Below are 18168 nucleotides of genomic sequence, written 5' to 3'. Positions count from 1 at the left end.
ATGCCCATGAAGTTTAGCAAGCATGCCCTGTGAGAGTGTATTATTATTACGGAAGCCTGGGGAAGTTGGAGTAAAACCAACAGTGTTTTTAAGGTGCCTGCTGTAGTCAGCCAACAGTGGTAAAAGACATGAGAAATAATGTGCCTTGTGCCTTTGTGAAGAGAAGCATTAGGTGAGGCTTTGAGGGGAAACAACTAGAGGAAAAAAAATTGTTAAAGTGAGATGCTGGCCCTTTGGGAGGCCAAGGCCGGTGGATCACCTGAGGTCAGGAGTTCAAGACCAACCTGGTCAACATGGTGAAACCCTGTCTCTGCTAAAAGTACAAAAATTAGGTGGGCATGGTGGTGCATGCCTGTAGGCCCAGCTACCAGGGTGGCTGAGGGAGGAGAATCGCTTGAACCTGGGAGGCGGAGGTTGCTGTGAGCTGAGAATGTGCCACTGCACTCCAGCCTGGATGACAGAGCGAGACTCCGACTGGAAAAAAAAAAAAGGTGAGATGCCACAAAACAGCATGCAGGAAAGATGGAGAGATAATTGGGAATTAGAGTCAGAAGAGGAAAATTTCGGGAGGAGTTAAGACTTACTCTTGGTCCTGAATGAAGCATAGATTTGGAGAGAAGATATGGGCTGGGAAGCCAGGAAGGAAGCAAAAAGCGGAGTTAATAATCTTTTAGCAAAGACCAAAAGAAGTAGAAGGTAGCAGTTCTCAAAGTTCTAATAATGGTGAAGGACCACAATGATTTCTGTACTCAGTTTAGATAAACTGCACTCACCCATCACACACTGTTGGTTTAACCGCTATCTTTTAAGTGCCCCAAAGCAACTTTAGTCTCTACCAACTTTAGTCTCTACCAAATGGTAGTTGGTGCCTCTGAGAAAGATGAGGCTACAGCTACACATCTCAAAACCACCTCTCCCCTCCGGCCCCACAACCAAACCAACCCTCCCTCTTAGTCTGTCACAGGAAACTGGTGGCCTGGTGGGTCCCCGGGATGGGGATTCTTTTCCTCGGCTTTTTTTCACGGCCCCTAGGAAAGTGAGACACCAGGTGTGCACACCCAAGGCCGGGCAGACACTCCAACCTGGCCAGCCTTCCCAGCTTTCTAAACATATGCCAGAGAGGGGTCCACCCTGGCCTCATCACTTAGCAAAATCAGCGCTTTCAGAAAGGTGCAGATGCTCTGCTGAAGGCTGGGGCAGGAGGGAGAAAAAGATGCTACCTGGGTATCAGGGAAAAATGCTCATTCTTTCTCAGGAGTATTATTTGTCTATAGTATTAATACATCCTCACTCTTAACAAAAAACCCCTGCTCCTCCTGTAACGCCTTCTCCCCAAAAGACAAAAGAGAACAAAGAGAGTCAACGGAGGACTTACCATAGGCTAATGATTTTCTTCTGGTCTGGGGAGTCCGCCTCCACAGATGGGGTAGGGGATTGGGCTGTTGGCGACCTGCAGGCTTTCTTTTTCTCCTCCACACCATTCTCAGCCTCTGAGCTGAAGAAGAAAGGAAACCGCTTCACTTTAGACATTCAGAGAGAGGTAGCTGGAAGGAAAACGATGAAGTAACATGGTTTTCTAGAGAATGGAATGATTTTCATTCCTCACTGATAGGCTAGTTAACTTTGACAGCGAGGCCCTTTCCCAATCTCCATTCTAACCCCTTGCCTGGTGTCCCAACGGCAGTAGCTGCAGGTCGCACCTGTTTCACTTGTAAATGCCAGACTGTGTGGACTTGCTGGCTCCCAGGTCTGTGCTGCCCAGCTCTGCTCTGCATGGGCTGTGCTGGGGCAGCAGATCACCTGGAGGCTGGGAGCGCCCTGCACAAGCACACACGCACATGTACACACGCTCACGTGTGGCCTCCTGCAGGTGTGAGCCTTCCTGCTGGGAACCCCCACCCCTTTTGTTTGCATTTCTCTTATGTCACTTACATGTTGTTTAACCAAGCAGTTCCCTAAGCAATTTACAGTCTCTAATCTTTACAACCACCCAGACTAGGTAGGAATTACTACCCTCATTTTACAGATGAGGAATCTGAGGCTCTTGCTATCTTGCCTAAGTTCAGAGAGCTAGCATCTATCTTACTTGAGATTCAAACTTAGTATGTCTGTCTGCAAAACCTTTGTGTTCTCTCTCTCCATTCATCCCCCCAACCACCTACTCATCCATTTATCCTCATAATTAACTCTTCAGTGTGAGAGCTCCAGGGCAGAGTGGGAATCTTACTCATCTTTGTCTTAACCACGGGGTCTAGGATAGTGTTGACTTACAGTCATGATCAATAGGCGTTGGAAAAACTAGGTCTGACCTTGGTAAAAGAGAAGGTGGAAGGGAGTAGAGGGGAAGGTGAGTCAAGAAGGTTTGTGCATAGAACCAACAAACAGAGGACAACCAGCTTGGGGGATGCAGAGGTGAGTTCCCTCAGTCGGCCGGTGAAGATCTCTTGGGAAGCAGGGGAAACCACTTCCAATGGGAAAGTGGGAAAGGAAGGGATGTTGAAGGAAGAATACAAAATGTTATTTATGGATCAGAACTTCTTTGGTGTGTCAGCTCAGTAAAACACAAACGATACTTCTGAGGATGTGAGGACTCCATGGAGACTGAGCCTAAAGAAAGACATGTTAAGATGGCATTGCTATGAGAGATTAGCTAATCTTCACTTTCATTTACCACCTATTTGGTAGTCTCACCTGCATATGACTGTGCAGGCAGGAAATGCCACTGGATAGTTTAAGCTGTGTGGTTGCTTTGCTGATCACTTTTCACAGCATATGAAAATTGCAGCCTAGGCGAGGAGTCCTATTGTAGTGTCAGAATCAAGGCCAGTATATCTGACAAGGGTATCTAACTAATAACACCCACAGATGGTTGATGCTCTTTTTTTTTTTTTTGAGATGGAGTTTCACTCTGGTTGCCCAGGCTGGAGTGCAGTGGCACGATCTCGGCTCACTGCAACCACTGCCTCCTAGAGATTCTCCTTCCTCAAGATTCTCCTGCCTCAGCCTCCCAAGTAGCTGGGATTACAGGCGCACGCCACCATGCCTGGCTAATTTTTGTATTTTTAGTAGAGACGGGGTTTTGCCATGTTGGCCAGGCTGGTCTCGAACTCCTGACCTCAGGTGATCTGCCCACCTTGGCCTCCCAAAGTGCTGGGATTACAGGCGTGAGCCACTGCACCCGGCCAAATGGTTGACGCTCTTAATTTTGTGGTAAGCATTTCTCTTTTCCTAGTAGATACATATCTGAGGACAGAGGTCCAACCTTCTATTTCTTCAATTTTTCTCCAAGTACTTAAAACAGTTACATACATTAAAAGGGCTCAGTCCATAACAGAATTGCATTATGTGACAAAGGTACATGGAAGGCTGAGGCATTGAAATATTATTAGGAAAACCCTGTTTTGGTTTAAAATAATAATTGGACTTTATTAAACTTAGCACCAAGTTTAATTTGTGGACTCAAAGAATTTTAGAATAGTTAAGAGGCCTTAAAGCACATCTCTGCCTTTTTTCGCTTCCCCCAAGACACAAACACATTATCTCTTTTCTTCAACAGATTCAGGCAGAAATCTACTTGAGAAGCCCTCTTTAAGTAGAGACTGGGTATAGAACTTCAATAATCCATCTCAACATTTATTCAGATATTTACTGGATTTTATGCAGGATCAGATGAAGACTTAGAGGGAGAGCTGGAGCTGTCCTATACAGCATCTTTGTGTACAGAGAGCCACTCTGCAAAAGGTGCTCCTGGCAGAGATAAGGTGCTTCTTGCTCTTGGCAGAAACAGCCCAGCACCAAGGTCAGAAGGCAGCAAAACTGAGGCTAGATTTCAGCTCCTCTTTGACCCTGACCCATCTTGGTCAGGCATTTGTGTGCAGTGCAGGTGACTTAAGTGCTTAACCACATAAGGTGGTCCTGTTTCGGGACCCCTAGCTTAGCACTGAAAAGATTACAGTGCATGCCTCTATATTGTCCTACTAAAACAATGTCTTTCAAGGATGGAACATACAGTGTACTCAAAGTAGCTTTTTTCTACATACTCTCCACTTCACTTCTCCTTCAACTTGTGTCTTGTCTTCAGCACTGGTTCTCTCCTTGAAGGCCCTAGCCAGGGGACACATCCTCCACACTGCTTAAAAGTCTCTATGCTGCCTGCTGATTTTATAACTCACTAGGCATCTAATTAATTAATACCTTGTACTGGTACCTTTTCTCCCAAAAATCTTAGTTATCCAGCACTAAACCAAGTTCCTTAAAGGCAGGGAATGTCTGGTTTTTTTCCACAGCACTCAGCTCAGCATTTGCTCACAGTGGTCATTTATACGTTCAATGATATGGATTAATTATGTAGTATCTCAAAGAGGAAGTGAAATTCATCTACGAGTCAATTTGATCTTAGGTTTTTGCTTAAAGATGCTACAGGCTCAAGCAAGTTAATTCCTCACACAGGCAAGATTATTCCTGCAAGCGTCCCTTACCTTGGAGGTCTTGTCAGCAGCAGACTGAAACTATGTAGAATTCAAGCAGCAGAGGCTAGCGTGTGTTTGAGTGAGCAGCGTGGGAGGGGAAATGGAATGCTTCCTCAAGGCCTTTTGGAAACTTTTAAGTTACTGTCAATGAAGCTGAACCAGGCCACTTAGTAACTTTAAAGTTACGGTCAACGAAGCTGAACAGGTTTCATTTAAATCATGAAAATAAGGAAATCAGTTTTTATTTATTTTTTAACCAGAAGACAAAGCCCTGTTACGGACTTTGACTAAAAGAGTCAACTGAAAAAACAAACCAAAAAACCAATCCTCCTTTTTCAACAAATATTTACTGGACTTGTCCCTGTTGTCAGGGTGCTCAGAGCTTTGTAGATGAGACAGGTAAGTGAGCTGGCAGGTGTAAGTATCCACAGAAGCAGTAGAAAATGCTGGAGACACAGGACCAACCTTTACTTGGCCTTGGCAGGTTATTTCTCCTCCCATCTCCAACCCACTTTAAGCATCAGTTATGGTCCCTGCCTGAAAGGCTTTTAGTAGAAATTTCAAAGCAGTGAGACAGTCATGCTTATAACAACTAAACCTGACTTCACCTATTAGGGGAGAGCATTTTTATTTTTATTTATTTATTTTTTTGAGATGGAGTTTCACTCTTGTCACCCAGGCTGGAGTGCAATGGCGTGATCTCTGCTCACTACAGCCTCCACCTCCCAGGTTCAAGTGATTCTCCTGCCTCAGCCTCCCGTGTAGCTGGGATTACAGGTGCCTGCCACCATGTCTGGCTAATTTTTGTATTTTTAGTAGAGACGGGGTTTCGCTGTGTTGGCCAGGCTGGTCTCGAACTCCTGGCCTCAAGTGATCCACCTGCTTCGGCCTCCCAAAGTGCTGGGATTACAAAGCATAAACCACCATGCCCAGCCAGGGAACAGCATTTTTATTACTGGCTAGGACAATCTTGTTTCAATAAAACACTGCCACACACTGTTACACAATTTATACATACAAAAACAGGTTGTACAATCCCTATCAGCCATCTAATATTTGTCACTTCCCAGACATCATTAGTTTGATGATGACTTAAATTCTCATTTCACAATTTTTCAGAATTAGAACTCTTATGTGGAGTCAAGTATCATTCCTGCTGGAGATAGTCTCTGTGAGTTTCAGCTAAACTCAATACACCTTTCTCTTGTCACATCACTGGCCCTTTGCCGCTCCTGCTGGGAATGTATTGTATTCAGGCACATCACATGCAAGTCCAGGTAAATAAGTAGCTGAAGGTAGAAGCTATGATTCAGCTGTGTCTCAGGTGAAGGAAAACAAGTGTTTCACTGTGGTTCAGTCCAAGAAGGTGTGTTCCCTTCTAATTACAGTGATGAGTCCCTGTGTTTGAGTCTACCCACATGTTAATCTAAGCTAAAGGCATAAAAAAAATCACTAAGCTTCCTTATGGTAGTAGAAGTAGAGGTAGTTTTACATCTACAATTATTTTTTAAAAAGTCTCTGATCATTTTAAAGCCACAGTCTTGATCAACAAAGGTTTAGAAGTGTCTGAAGATAGGATATGTTTCATCAGAGGGTCTTCATAGAATAAATGCCTGGCAATGGGATTGCTGTGGTCATGGGTGGGTCTGTGAAAGTAGAGTGTTCCTGAAACTGTAGTGAAAACCATGTTGGCACCTGGATTCACCAAGATCTGGGGCCTCATAGACGCTTGTTTTTGGAGTGCTGCCTATTCAGTGGCTCCGTGGCTGGCAGACACAGGCCACGATACTTGGGAAGCAAAGAGTTGGGCTATAGAGATGGAAGAGGGCTGGACAGCAGCCATAGTACAAATAAAGAGAGGCCTCACAGTGACCAAAAGAAGGAAATAGAATGGAGTGCGGAAGTGCAGGAGTGAGCAATGGAGACAGGATGGCTGGGAAACCCTTTAGCTTTTCCAATTTCATAAACTCAGAATCTCCCAAACTAGATTTTTACAAGTCAAGAAGAATGATCTTCCATTTACAATTCTGATACATATATTTTTGTTTGGACAACTATAAATTTCATTTATCTGTCTACATATTTATTTCTGAATAGGCACTATAAGCATAAGTATAAAATTTAAAAGTTACAAATGGAAAAACAAATTTTCTTTTTACCCCTGTTTCATGGTGACCCAGTTTCTCTCCACAAAGGCACCTACTCTTCCCAGCAACTTGTGTGTCCTTCCTGGGAGAGACTGTGCGTATGTAAACGTGTGCATTTTTGAACCACAAATGATAGACAGCATGCTATTCTGCACCTTGCTTTTTTTTTAACTTATTTTATCTTGGTGTTCTTTCAGTACCCATAGATCTTCCTCATACTTTTTAATGACTGCATAAAGTTACATCGTAAGGATGAAATGTTATTTAACCAGTTCCTTACTGATGGGGCATGTAGGTATATTTCAGTCTTTTGCAAATACTAACAACATTGCAACAAATGTCCTTATATGTTTATTACATGTGTGAATAATTTTCTGGAAATGGAACTGCTGTGTCAAAAGGTATGATAGAAAAAATGTTACAGCTATTGCCAAATTGCCCTCGGTAGACATTTTGTGATGCATACCCAAATATTCAACAGTGTCTATATCTTCTCACTAATAAAGTGTTAGCCTTAAAAATATTTATATTTTGAAGTACCTAGCATAATAGCTGGCACACAAAATAACAATCATCATTTTAATCGTGACTAGCGCTAAACTTTTTGATCTTTGCAAATGTAAAAGGTTAAAAAATATTCCACTACAGTTTCATTTGCATTTTCTTCTTAAGAGTAAAGCTGAGTGTATTTTCATATATTTAAGCACTTATTAAAATTTTTCTTGTTTTGTGAATTAGCTGTTTGTATGTACATTTTGCCAATTTATCTAATGGGTTGTTGATTGAAACATTTAGTATAAATGATTCTTATCATAATTGCTTCACAGATTCTTAGTAACATCCTATAGTTGACTTTTAAAATAAATAATCTTAAGCATTTAGAAAAGTTAAGTGGAAGCCAGGTATGGTGGCATGTGCCTGTAGTTCCAGCCACTCTGGAGGCTAATGTGGGAGGATGGACTGAGGCCAGGAGTTTGAAACCAGCTTGGGCAACATAGAGAGACCCCATTTCAAAAAAAAGTTAAGTGGATATTAGCGGCTGGCATGACATTAAAATAAAATATTAATGACAACTAGTTTTGTTGTCGATAGATTTATTAGCAGATAGATAAAAGGAGTGTCAAAAATATAGTATTCTCTAATTTCAGCAAAACCGTCAATGAAATGTGAAAGGCTTTCAGTTCAGGATGGAGAATGGGAGCACAAATGTTTGCTTCTCCTTTCTTTCTAAGGTCTTTAAAATGAATATGTACAAAAGAAGTGATAATCCTGCTACAATAATGGAGGGAAACCATCAACAGAAGACTGATTTCTGAAACTTTCTGAAATATGGAAAAACGGAAAGCGGAAAGTAAAGTACAATATTTACTCATGCAGCAAAGCAAGGGAAGCCATAATCTTGAATATAGGCATCAACGGGGGATAAGAAAACACCGACCCGTTTGTCAGAAGTCCAGTGAGGTGCTACAGGAGGAGTGGGTGAGAAGTTTCCGAAAACACTAGATTTAATTAAAGATGTGGCTGTGAGAAATCTTGACACTTCCTCCTCACTCGCCCTGGCTCAGACCCAAATTACAGGCAGTTAATAGGGAAAAGCATCAGAGGGGTCATTGCTAAAATAACTGAACAACTTGGGTGCAGGAAACTGTGGTAACTAGTTATATATAACCGTGGCAGCTAGTTATATACAACCGTGGTAGCTAGTTATGGAGCCCCAGAGTAAATCCTCATCCTTCCATTTTGAATATGGTAGTCCCAGGAAAAGTGCCAACTCCCTATCCATGAACGTACAAAGATGAGGAGCAGCTACTCCAGTCCCTTATTATTTTTTCTCTAGCCCCTCATTCTTTTTTTTTTTTTGTTTTGAGATGGAGCCTTACTCTGTCGCTCAGGCTGGAGTGCAGTGCAGTAACGCAATCTTGGCTCGCTGCAACCTCTGCCTCCCAGGTTCAAGTGATTCTCTTGTCTCAGCCTCCTAAGTAGCTGGGATTACAGGCGCACAACACCATGCCTGGCTAATTTTTATATTTTTCTTAGAGACAGGGTTTCACCATGTTGGCCAGGCTGGTCTTGAACTCCTGACCTCAAGTGATCCACCTGCCTTTACCTCTCAAAGTGCTAAGATCATAGGCACAAGCCACTGTGCCTGGCCCAGTCCCTCATTCTTAAATATGAAATAACAACCAAGGATTGCCATTTCTTTGAAGAAAACTTGAAGTCTGAAAGAAAAGACCAAGATGAACCAACAAGAAAGTAAAATCCCAGGGAAACTGGCTTTAGTGAACAGATGAAAACAAAAGACAAATATGCAAACAAGAAAAACAAAATCTAAATCCTATGAATTAATGTCTTCAGAGAAAGAAGGTAGCACCCATGAAAAAGAATCACAATGTTATGGAGAAGGAAACCCTACTTATCCCCCAATTTTTTCAGAGTCCAAATCCTTGCAATAGCCTATCAGGCACTTCAGGACCTGACCCACACACCTCCCCGATCCTCTCTTCTCCTTCCCTCACCCTAGTCCAGCCCCACTCCAAGCCCCCATGAGAAACCTGTGCCCTAGTGTTCCCTCTGCCTGGGATGCTGTACCCCAGTTAGCCAAGTGACTCTCTCCCTTTAAGATTTAACTTGAATGTCACCTTCTCAATGATATATATACAATTTTTTTCCCCCCGAGACAGAGTCTTGCTGTATTGCCCAGGCTGGAGTGCAGTGGTGCAATCTTGGCTCACTGCAACCTCCGCCTCCCAGGTTCAAGTGATTCTTCTGCCTCAGTCTCCTAAGTAGCTGGGATTACAGGCACGTGTCACCATGCCTGGTTAATTTTTGTATTTTTAGAGGCAGGGTTTCACTATGTTGGCCAGGCTGGTCTTGAACTCCTGAGCTCAGGTGATCTACCTGCCTGGGCCTCCCAAAGTGCTGGGATTACAGGTGTGAGCCACAGTGCCTGGCCAAGACCTATATATTTAACCAAAAGAGATAAAGCATTAAGGGACCAAAGTAAGATAGCATCAAGATACCAAAATTCAAAAACAGAATAGGTATAAGAGGGAAAAACATGACATGTGTCAGCCAGGTACTTCTTTTTTTTTTTTTTTTTTTTTTTTTTTTTTGAGACGGAGTCTCGCACTGTCGCCTCTGCTGGAGTGCAGTGGCGCGATCTTGGCTCACTGCAAGCTCCACCTCCCACATTCATGCCATTCTCTCGCCTCAGCCTCCCGAGTAGCTGGGACTACAGGCGCCTGCCACCATGCCCAGCTAATTTTTTGTATTTTTAGTAGAGACGGGGTTTCACCGTGTTAGCCAGGATGGTCTTGATCTCCTGACCTTGTGATCTGCCTGCCTTGGCCTCCCAAAGTGCTGGGATTACAGGCGTGAGCCACTGTGTCCGGCCTCAGCCAGGTACTTCTATATCAAATGGATAGGCATTCTAAACTGAAAAAGAGAGCAGACATTATTAAAGAAAAAACAAAGGGGGAGGTAAAATGGCAGCGGTTACTAATTTCTTACCCTAAAAAGTGGGGAGTCAAAGTGATTTCATTAGAAATTTATGTTGCTGTATTACTTAAAAGAGGCAATAAACAAATGCATGAAAATAGGAACTAGAAAGATACGCCTGTTAAAAGGAAGAGAGGGAAGGAGGGAGTTAGTATAAGGGAGTTGATTCTTTTCCATCAAAACAGGAAGTTGAGAGATAAGGTTTAATACTGATAAACAAAAAGAGCAAGATACACACATTTTTACAGATAATGAAGTAACCACTACACTAAAACTGGGTACAGTTAGAAGTGGTAGGCTGGGTATGGTGGCTCACTCCTGTAATCCAGCACTTTGGGAGGCTGAGGTGGGAGGATCACTTGAGCCGCAGTTTGACACCAGCCTGGACAACATAGGGAGACCCCATCTCTACAAAAAAAAACAAAAAATTTAGCCGGGTATGGTGGTGTGCACCTGTGGTTCCAGCTGCTCAGGATGCTGAGGTGGGAGGATCACTTGAGCTCAGGGGTTCGAGGCTGCAGTGAGCCGTGATTGTGCCACTGCACTTTACCCTGGGTGACAGAGTGAGACCCTGTCTCAACAACAAAAAAAGTGGTAGCTACTGAGGGGGCAGATAGGGGATGGGAGAGGTGGGATTGAGCTCATTATACAATTTTAATGAATTATATTATTTTGGTAAGCATTTAAACAATTTTAAAAGTTTTATTCATATCCTTGTAGCAAAGATGTGAGATACAGAGTGGATAATAAAAATCAGTGGATTTACTATCTTCAAATGTTTGAGCTGTTACTATGTGTAAAACCTAATACCAGATTTTATGTTCTCAAAGGATTTAGGCTTTATTGGGAACTTAAGTTCAGTACATAAACACAGAACAATACATGTCATAAAGGATATTGTGTCATAAAGAAGGTGTCTAAGGAATTCAGAAACCTCTTCTAATTGTAAAGAGGAGACTCAGAGAAGTTGTGTGGAAGAAATAAGCATGACACCCTTGTGTATGGGGAGGGCACTATGTCTTTTCTAGTTAAGTAGAAAAATATTATAGCTGTCAGAAATATATTTCAGTACGAGAAACTAGAAATGTAAATTATATTTCTATTTGTTATATAAAACAGTAAAAATAAAACAGTCCTTTGGATTGGAGAAATCAAAACTTTCATTACTGCATCACAGCCATTGGTGCTACCTCTCTGTCCAAAGAAACACTGTAGTTATACAATGATTATTGTGGAAGGATTGAGATTTGTGCTGGATACATACAATTTGGAGTCAGAGATGCCATAAGGTCATGAGAAACACAAGGAAAGGCAGAAGCACAATATGCAGACAAGGAAAAGTCACTCTCACAAGGAAATCCAACAGTTTGTTTTTTTTTTCTGAAGTACAGGCAGCAGGAAGAAGCAGAAATTAAGTTGTGAAGTTTGACTCCTAATGAGGGAAGGCTACTTTTAGACTTCATTTGACTGGTGGTAGGTATTAATTGAAGATTTTTAAACAGAAGGAATAAAATGACAAGATATTAAATGCCCACCTTTTATACATCATGGACCTGATGAGCTATGGGCTTCTGGAGGACTATATTCCTATTTGTACAAGAACAAGGGAGGGTGGAAGCTGGAGACAAGAGAAAACAGAAAGGCAGGTAGGGAGTGAATCTGAAGGCAAGAAGCAGACACTGCGTTGGAGGGAAAATCCAGAGACAACATTGGAATGATTAGGGAGAGCACGCAATGGAGAGGAACATCCAAGAACACCAAGGTTATCTGGGGGATGGAGAGGATGGCATTGCCACTAACAGTTACAGGGAACACAAGAGAAATTGTAGTTTGGTGGGAAGGATTTTGTAAATTTAGTTTTAGACATAATAGATGTATATTGATAGCAGGTAGAAAACTGTATCTAAAAAAACCAAAGGAGCCCCAAATAGGTCAACAATAAAAAGAATATCAGATTTTGCAGAGGAGGGGTTCCGCCAGTTTGGAAACTAATTCCACTGAGTCTCAAGCACACTGCTGTAGCAAAAATGAATACCTAAACACCAGCAGCAATAGCAGGGCTAGAGAAATGGTTTAGCAGAGGCCACCATCTGGCTCCAGTAACCTCTTTAATATGGTCTCAAAGAAGACCCCTCTGTTCTCATGAAAGTGGACAAGTCATTGTCCCATGAACAATCATGTGATTCATTCCTGCCTCTATATCTACTCCTAATTCTGTTTTCCTAAAATATTATGTCTCTTTGAAAGCCTAAGGCAACTCATATAACTCCAAAAAGCAATTAATTGTTAAGATTCTGATTTTGGAGAGACAGAAACCCAACTCAAACTAGCTTGATTTTTTAAAAAAGCAACCAAACAGCTCCCAAGGGCTTTTGTCACTGCTTTAAGACAAAGTCAACAGTGGACAGTGGGTGCAGCTGCAGTGATTTCCCTTCCACCCTTGGAACGCACAGCAATGATCTCTAGGATCTTCCTCTCCAAGATTCTGGGACATCAATGTGCGATTCATCCTCCTGAGACACGGCCTCCATTATGTCATGCCACTGCTCCAGAGTTAACAATGCCTTTCTATTGAGCACCAGATCGAGGCATCTGGACACGAGCCAAGACCCTCCAGTTTTGCAATCTCCCTCTTCTTTTCAAAAGGAATTCTCTGTTCCAGCCATGTTGGTCGTCTTACCTTGGCCGCACTTATATCATGTTCTGTCCTTCCTCTATGTGTTGATTCTCAGTTCTCTGCTCCCTCCTCTCTACACACAGGAACCCATCATACCAGATTCTGAACAAATCCAATTACATTCCCACTTTTATACTGACTTCCATCTCTTTATTATCAATAATATAAGAAATTATGCAATTAATACTTATTGCCTAGACATCTATTTGCAATACAGGAAAACAATTAGCATTTTAAAAAGGGCTTGGGCTTAAATTTTATCTCAAAACCTACCTCATGAACTCCTTCCCAAGTGTGGCTGACAAGTTTTGGAAGAGGGGGTGGGAGCAAGAGAAAAAGGCCAGTCTTTTAATTTTCCCCACTGCTGAATTGGCATTGTGTGCAAACTTATTTTTTCAAACTGATTATTAGTTAGATGAGTAATAATTTGAAACCATATGGAAACTTGAAAAGACTGTTTTCATCAAACTAACTTCACAGCAGTAGCATTTTGAGGCCAAGCACAGTTGGAAAATAACAAAGTAAATTGTAAAATGCAGCAAGGAGGTAGCAATGGACTTTTCTAGTTTCCAGCCAAGGAAGATTGATGCTGCTGATAGTGAATTCTCCTTTGTTATTTACAGCCTCAGTGCATGAATGCTATTTTGCATTGCATAATAAACTTCCTAAAAACATATACTGAATATATCTCCTCCAAACTAGACTATAACCTTTTTAGGGGCAGGGACTTTAAGCATTTTTTTGAATTTCTGTCTTCATTCCTTTTTTTTTTTTTTTTTTTCTTTTAAGATGGAGAAGATGGAGTCTTGCTCTGTTGCCCAGGCTAGAGTGCAGTGGCGTGATCTTGGCTCATTGCAACCTCCACCTCCTGGGTTCAAACAATTCTCCTGCCTCAGCCTCCTAAGTAGCTGGGATTACAGGCATGTGCCATCATGCCCAGTTAATTTTTGTATTTTTAATAGAGACAGAATTTCACCATGTTGGCCAGGCTGGTCTTGAACTCCTGACCTCAGGTGATCTGCCCACCTTGGCCTCATATCTTCGTTCCTTTTTGGGGCTCTTCTCCACCAGCAATTGGATGTCACAATGAGCCACTTTTCATATACCTAAGATATATTAGAGGATATCTATTTGATTAAGGTTTTTTGTTCTGAAGACTGTGTTTAGGAAAGAACTAGTTTTTAACTAGAATGAAAAGCTTACCCAAACAAAAAGATAGAAATGCAAAAGAATAGGGCATAAAGTCCAGAAAAACATACTTAGAGAAACTGAAATTTTTCATTACTTAGTGAGGTCTATCATAAAGGAAACCAATTTGGAACCTCATGTTAAAGGAACAGAAGATCAAAGAGAGAACAAAACTGTGAGGATGAGAACTTCAGGCAAGAGTCATAAAAGGTTCTACTACTAGTATACAAAGGAGGAGAAAGGAAAGAACTGACTTATATATCAGGAATGCCAAGGAGAAGTGGTGTCTGTAGTATGAGAACTGCCAGGAGAGTAGAATGATAAGGAATAGAGTGGCTGAGGGGCTAGACTTACTGATGGACGGATAAGGGTGCTTCTGAATTTAGGGAATAAAAGGCCCTGCCATGGTTTCCTGAGATGTGACAGTTTATGAACCTGATACTCAGGAGAAAAGTATTGTCTATTTTTTGATAGATGGGTATTGCAAGAGAGTAATGTCAGGGAAACCAGGTGCTATGGTCTGAATGTTTGTGTCCACCAAACATTTACATGTTGAAATTCTAACCCCCGAGGTGAAGGCATTAGGATGTGGGGCTTTTGGGAGGTGATTAGATTATGAGGGTAGAGCCCTCATGAATGGGATTAATGCCCTTGTAGGGAGCTCATTAGTCCCTTCCACCACATGAGGATCCAACAAAATACAGCCATCCATGAAACAGCAAATGTGCCCTCACCAGACACTGAATTTGTTGATGACTTGATCTTGAACTTCCAGCCTCCAAAACCATGAGAAATAAATTTCTGTTGTTTACAAGAATGTCAGTCCATTTGCATTGCTATAGAGATATACCCAAGACTGGGTAATTTATAAAGAAAAGAGGTTTAATTGGTTCACAGTTCTGCAGGCTGTCTAGGAAGCATAGTGCCGGCATCTGCTTCTGGTCAGGGCCTCAGGGAGCTTACAATCGTGGTGGAAGGCGAAGGGGGAGCAGGCACATCCCATGGTGAGAGTGGGAGCAAGAGAGAGAGAAGGGGAAGTCCAAGACTCTTTCAAAAAACCAGATCTCATATTAACTAACTGAGTGAGAATTCACTTATCACCAAGGGGATGGTGCAAACCCATTTGTGAAGGATCCACTGCTGCGATCCAATCATCTTCTACCAGGTCCCGCCTCTGACACTGGGAATCACACTGGAACATGAGATTTGGAGGGGACAAATATCCAAACCATATCATTCTGCCGCTGGCCCCCCACATCTCGTCCTCACATTGCAAAATACAATCATACTTTCCCCAAAGTCCCCAAAAGTCTTAACTTGTTCCAGCATCAAGTCTAAAGTCCTAAGTCTCGTAAGAGACTCATCTCCTACCACTAATGAGCCTGTAAAATAAAAAAAGTTATTTACTTCCAAGATACAATGGTGGTACAGGCACTGGATAAACATTCCCATTCCAGAAAGGAGAAGTCGGCCAAAAGAAAGGGGAAGCAGGCCCCACACAGGTCTGAAACCCAGCAAGGCAGTCATTAAGTCTTAAAGCTCCAAAACAATCTCTTTTGAGATTGTTTACACCATGCTTCCTGTATAGCCTGCAGAACTGTGAACCAATTAAACCTCTTTTCTTTATAAATCACCCAGTGTCAGGTATTCTTTTATAGCAATGCAAATGGACTAACATACTTGTAAACAACAGAAATTTATTTCTCATGGTTTTGGAGGCTGGAAGTTCAAGATCAAGTTATGGAGCTCACTGGTGCAAGGAGTGGGCTCCCAAGGCCTCGGACAGTTCTGCCTCTGTGGCTTTGCAGGGTGCAGCCTCGCTGGCTGCTCTCACGGGTTGGAGTTGAATGCCTGTGGGTTTTCCAGATGTAGGGTGCAAGCTGCCAGAGGCTCTACCATTCTGGGGTCTGGAGGACAGTGGCCCCCTTCCTACAGTTCCACTAGGCAGTGCCCTGTTGGGCACTCTGTGTGGGGGCACAACCCCATATTTCCCCTCAGCACTGCCCTAGTAGAGTTTTTGTGTTGGCTACGCCGCGCGACAGGCTTCTGCCTGGGTATGTAGGCTTTCTGAAATATCCTCTGAAATCTAGGTGGAAGTTGTCAAGACTTCTTCACTCTTGCATTCTGTGTGTCTGCAGGATTAGCACCCCATGGAAGCCACCAAGGCTTACAGCTTGCACCCTATGGAGTGGCAGCCCGAGCTGTACCTGGGCCCCTTTGAGCTGACGCTAGAGCCAGACTGGCCGGGACAGAGTGAGCAACATTTTTTTTTTTTTTTTTTTTTTTTTTAACAGCAGGCTGGATGGACTGTCACTGGTTTTAGAGGTTATCTTCTAGGACAGAGAATGAATGAAGGCCAGGTGACGGGTGAGAAAGGAAATGGGAGGAGTCAGAAATGATAACCCAGAGTGAGGCATTGCTAGTAAACTTCACAGCAGAATGTTTCATTACGTTAATACAAATTCCCCTTGAATTACACTTCAAATCTCTTGTCTGACCTTACAAAAATTATGTTTATGCTGATATGCTAATAAATTTTATCCAGAGAGAGAGAGAGAATATATTATGCTAGAAATACATGTATTTGGTCAGAAGAGAATTTTTTACCTGTTAATAGTGCAATAACCTTTTAGGTTAAAACAGACAAAAACCAGGGCCATTAGAAGCCGACTTAGAAGAGAGAAATGTTCACTTTTGTTTTGAGGCACCCCTCTCCACCCCCGTGGAGACGAGCTGTACTACTCTGGCCCTCAGCTAAGCCCCTGAAAGAAGAGCTGCCTCTTACCACTCTGGCATCTACGATAACTACAGCTCTTTCTTTCCTCCTATACCCTTCATTTCCTGTAACTCTGTCTTCTGTTTCATGTAGGAGGAAAAAAAAAAAGAGATCAAAAGCCAGAGAGAGCTTAAAAGACCAAGTACATGGGCATTGTAGCAGAGTTAAAAGTTACTACGGGAGTCCAAAATAGTTCCAGAAACCTGTCGCTTTGTTTCTCCCTCACTCAAACTCTGCATTGCTACTTCCTCAGTCTCCTGTGTTCTGATCTTACAGTGCAGAGCCACACACATATGAGGACAGAGTAGGGTGTTCACAGGATGTGACACACAGGACTCTCCCAGAGGCCAGGTTTCGGTCTCATGCCATATCCCACCAAGTGAATCAACACGGGCATCAGCAGCACACGTGAAAATTCTCTTTGCTTAAATGCCAAGTATTATTACAGCTCAGGATTCTTTTTCTAAAAAAAATTAATGGGACTCAACTTCTAGAGAAGAAAGACACTGTCACTTTAAAAAAGTGGAATATATCTATATATTGGTGAAAGCAGTTTTATGTAAAAGGCTTTGATTTAACCAAAACACCCTCATATTAGACATACGTAAGGAAAAAGAAGCTCATGATATCCCATGGCGAAAAATAAGAGAGTATAGTTTTAGTATTTCAGATTGTGAGGTTTCAAAGGTGTTAATCTACCTAAGGATGTAAATGTCTCTTATCTGTATTTGGCTTTCCTTAGAAGTTATCCATGTGGTTTGTCATGTTAGTGTCAACAATATAGAATTATTCCATATTGTTATTATGTAAAAATATACATGATTTTAATTACAACTATCAAGATATGGAATAATTGTGGAACTAGTGATAGCTCCTCACTGCTGTTAAAATGTTTACCCCAATATTTTAAATATAACTAACTTTTACGGGATAGAAGAATTAGATTGAATATAATTTGTACATGACAGTACCACTTTCAAGGAAATAAGCAGTGGATCTAAAAGATTTTAATTTTATATTTGACATCTTTATTTACTGTCCTTAATTTCTCCCACCACAAATATGCATTTTCTCTATCTGGACTTGAAACGCATCGCTTTGGAAAACACATCTCTGCCTCTTCCCTCTTCCTTGCCACTCCTTTCTACTGGATTTCCCGGATGACTTTATATTTGCATGGTGCTTTGCCGTTCAAAAAGCATTCATACCCGTGACACCATGATACCACACTAACCCTCATGCAGGCATGAAAGACAGGTGTGTTAGACAGGTGTTTGAGGCCGGCATGTAAGACAGGTGTTATCCACATTTCACAAATAAGGAAACAAAGATGAGTTCGCTGAGGGCCCACACAACTCCAATCTTAGTGACTGAAGCCTCTATTACTCTCATACTATGACTAGCCTTCTCTTT

General features: G+C 42.1%; 1 protein-coding gene across 26 annotated transcripts in view; it reads right to left on the bottom strand.

Moving 5' to 3' along the window:
* Nucleotides 1–18168, bottom strand: part of GRAMD2B (GRAM domain containing 2B) — a 134245-nt gene that overhangs the window by 27444 nt on the left and 88633 nt on the right. For 12 of the 26 annotated variants that reach the window (NR_146196.2, NR_146197.2, XM_011543593.3 and 9 more), the window contains exon 2: nucleotides 1376–1495. Coding sequence is in view for 23 of the 26 variants with exons in the window: in XM_011543593.3 (XP_011541895.1) it covers nucleotides 1376–1495 (120 nt within the window). In the remaining 3 variants the exon portion in view is untranslated. Of the gene's footprint in view, nucleotides 1–584; nucleotides 628–1375; nucleotides 1545–1700; nucleotides 1772–4478; nucleotides 17022–18168 lie in introns of those variants that run through there. The other 14 variants (NR_146195.2, XM_017009781.2, NM_001349544.2 and 11 more) reach the window with 7 other exon arrangements.

The sequence above is a fragment of the Homo sapiens genome, chromosome 5, assembly GCF_000001405.40.
Source record: "Homo sapiens chromosome 5, GRCh38.p14 Primary Assembly".
Lineage (NCBI taxonomy): Eukaryota > Metazoa > Chordata > Mammalia > Primates > Hominidae > Homo > Homo sapiens.
This window is presented reverse-complemented; position numbering and strand designations above follow the sequence as displayed.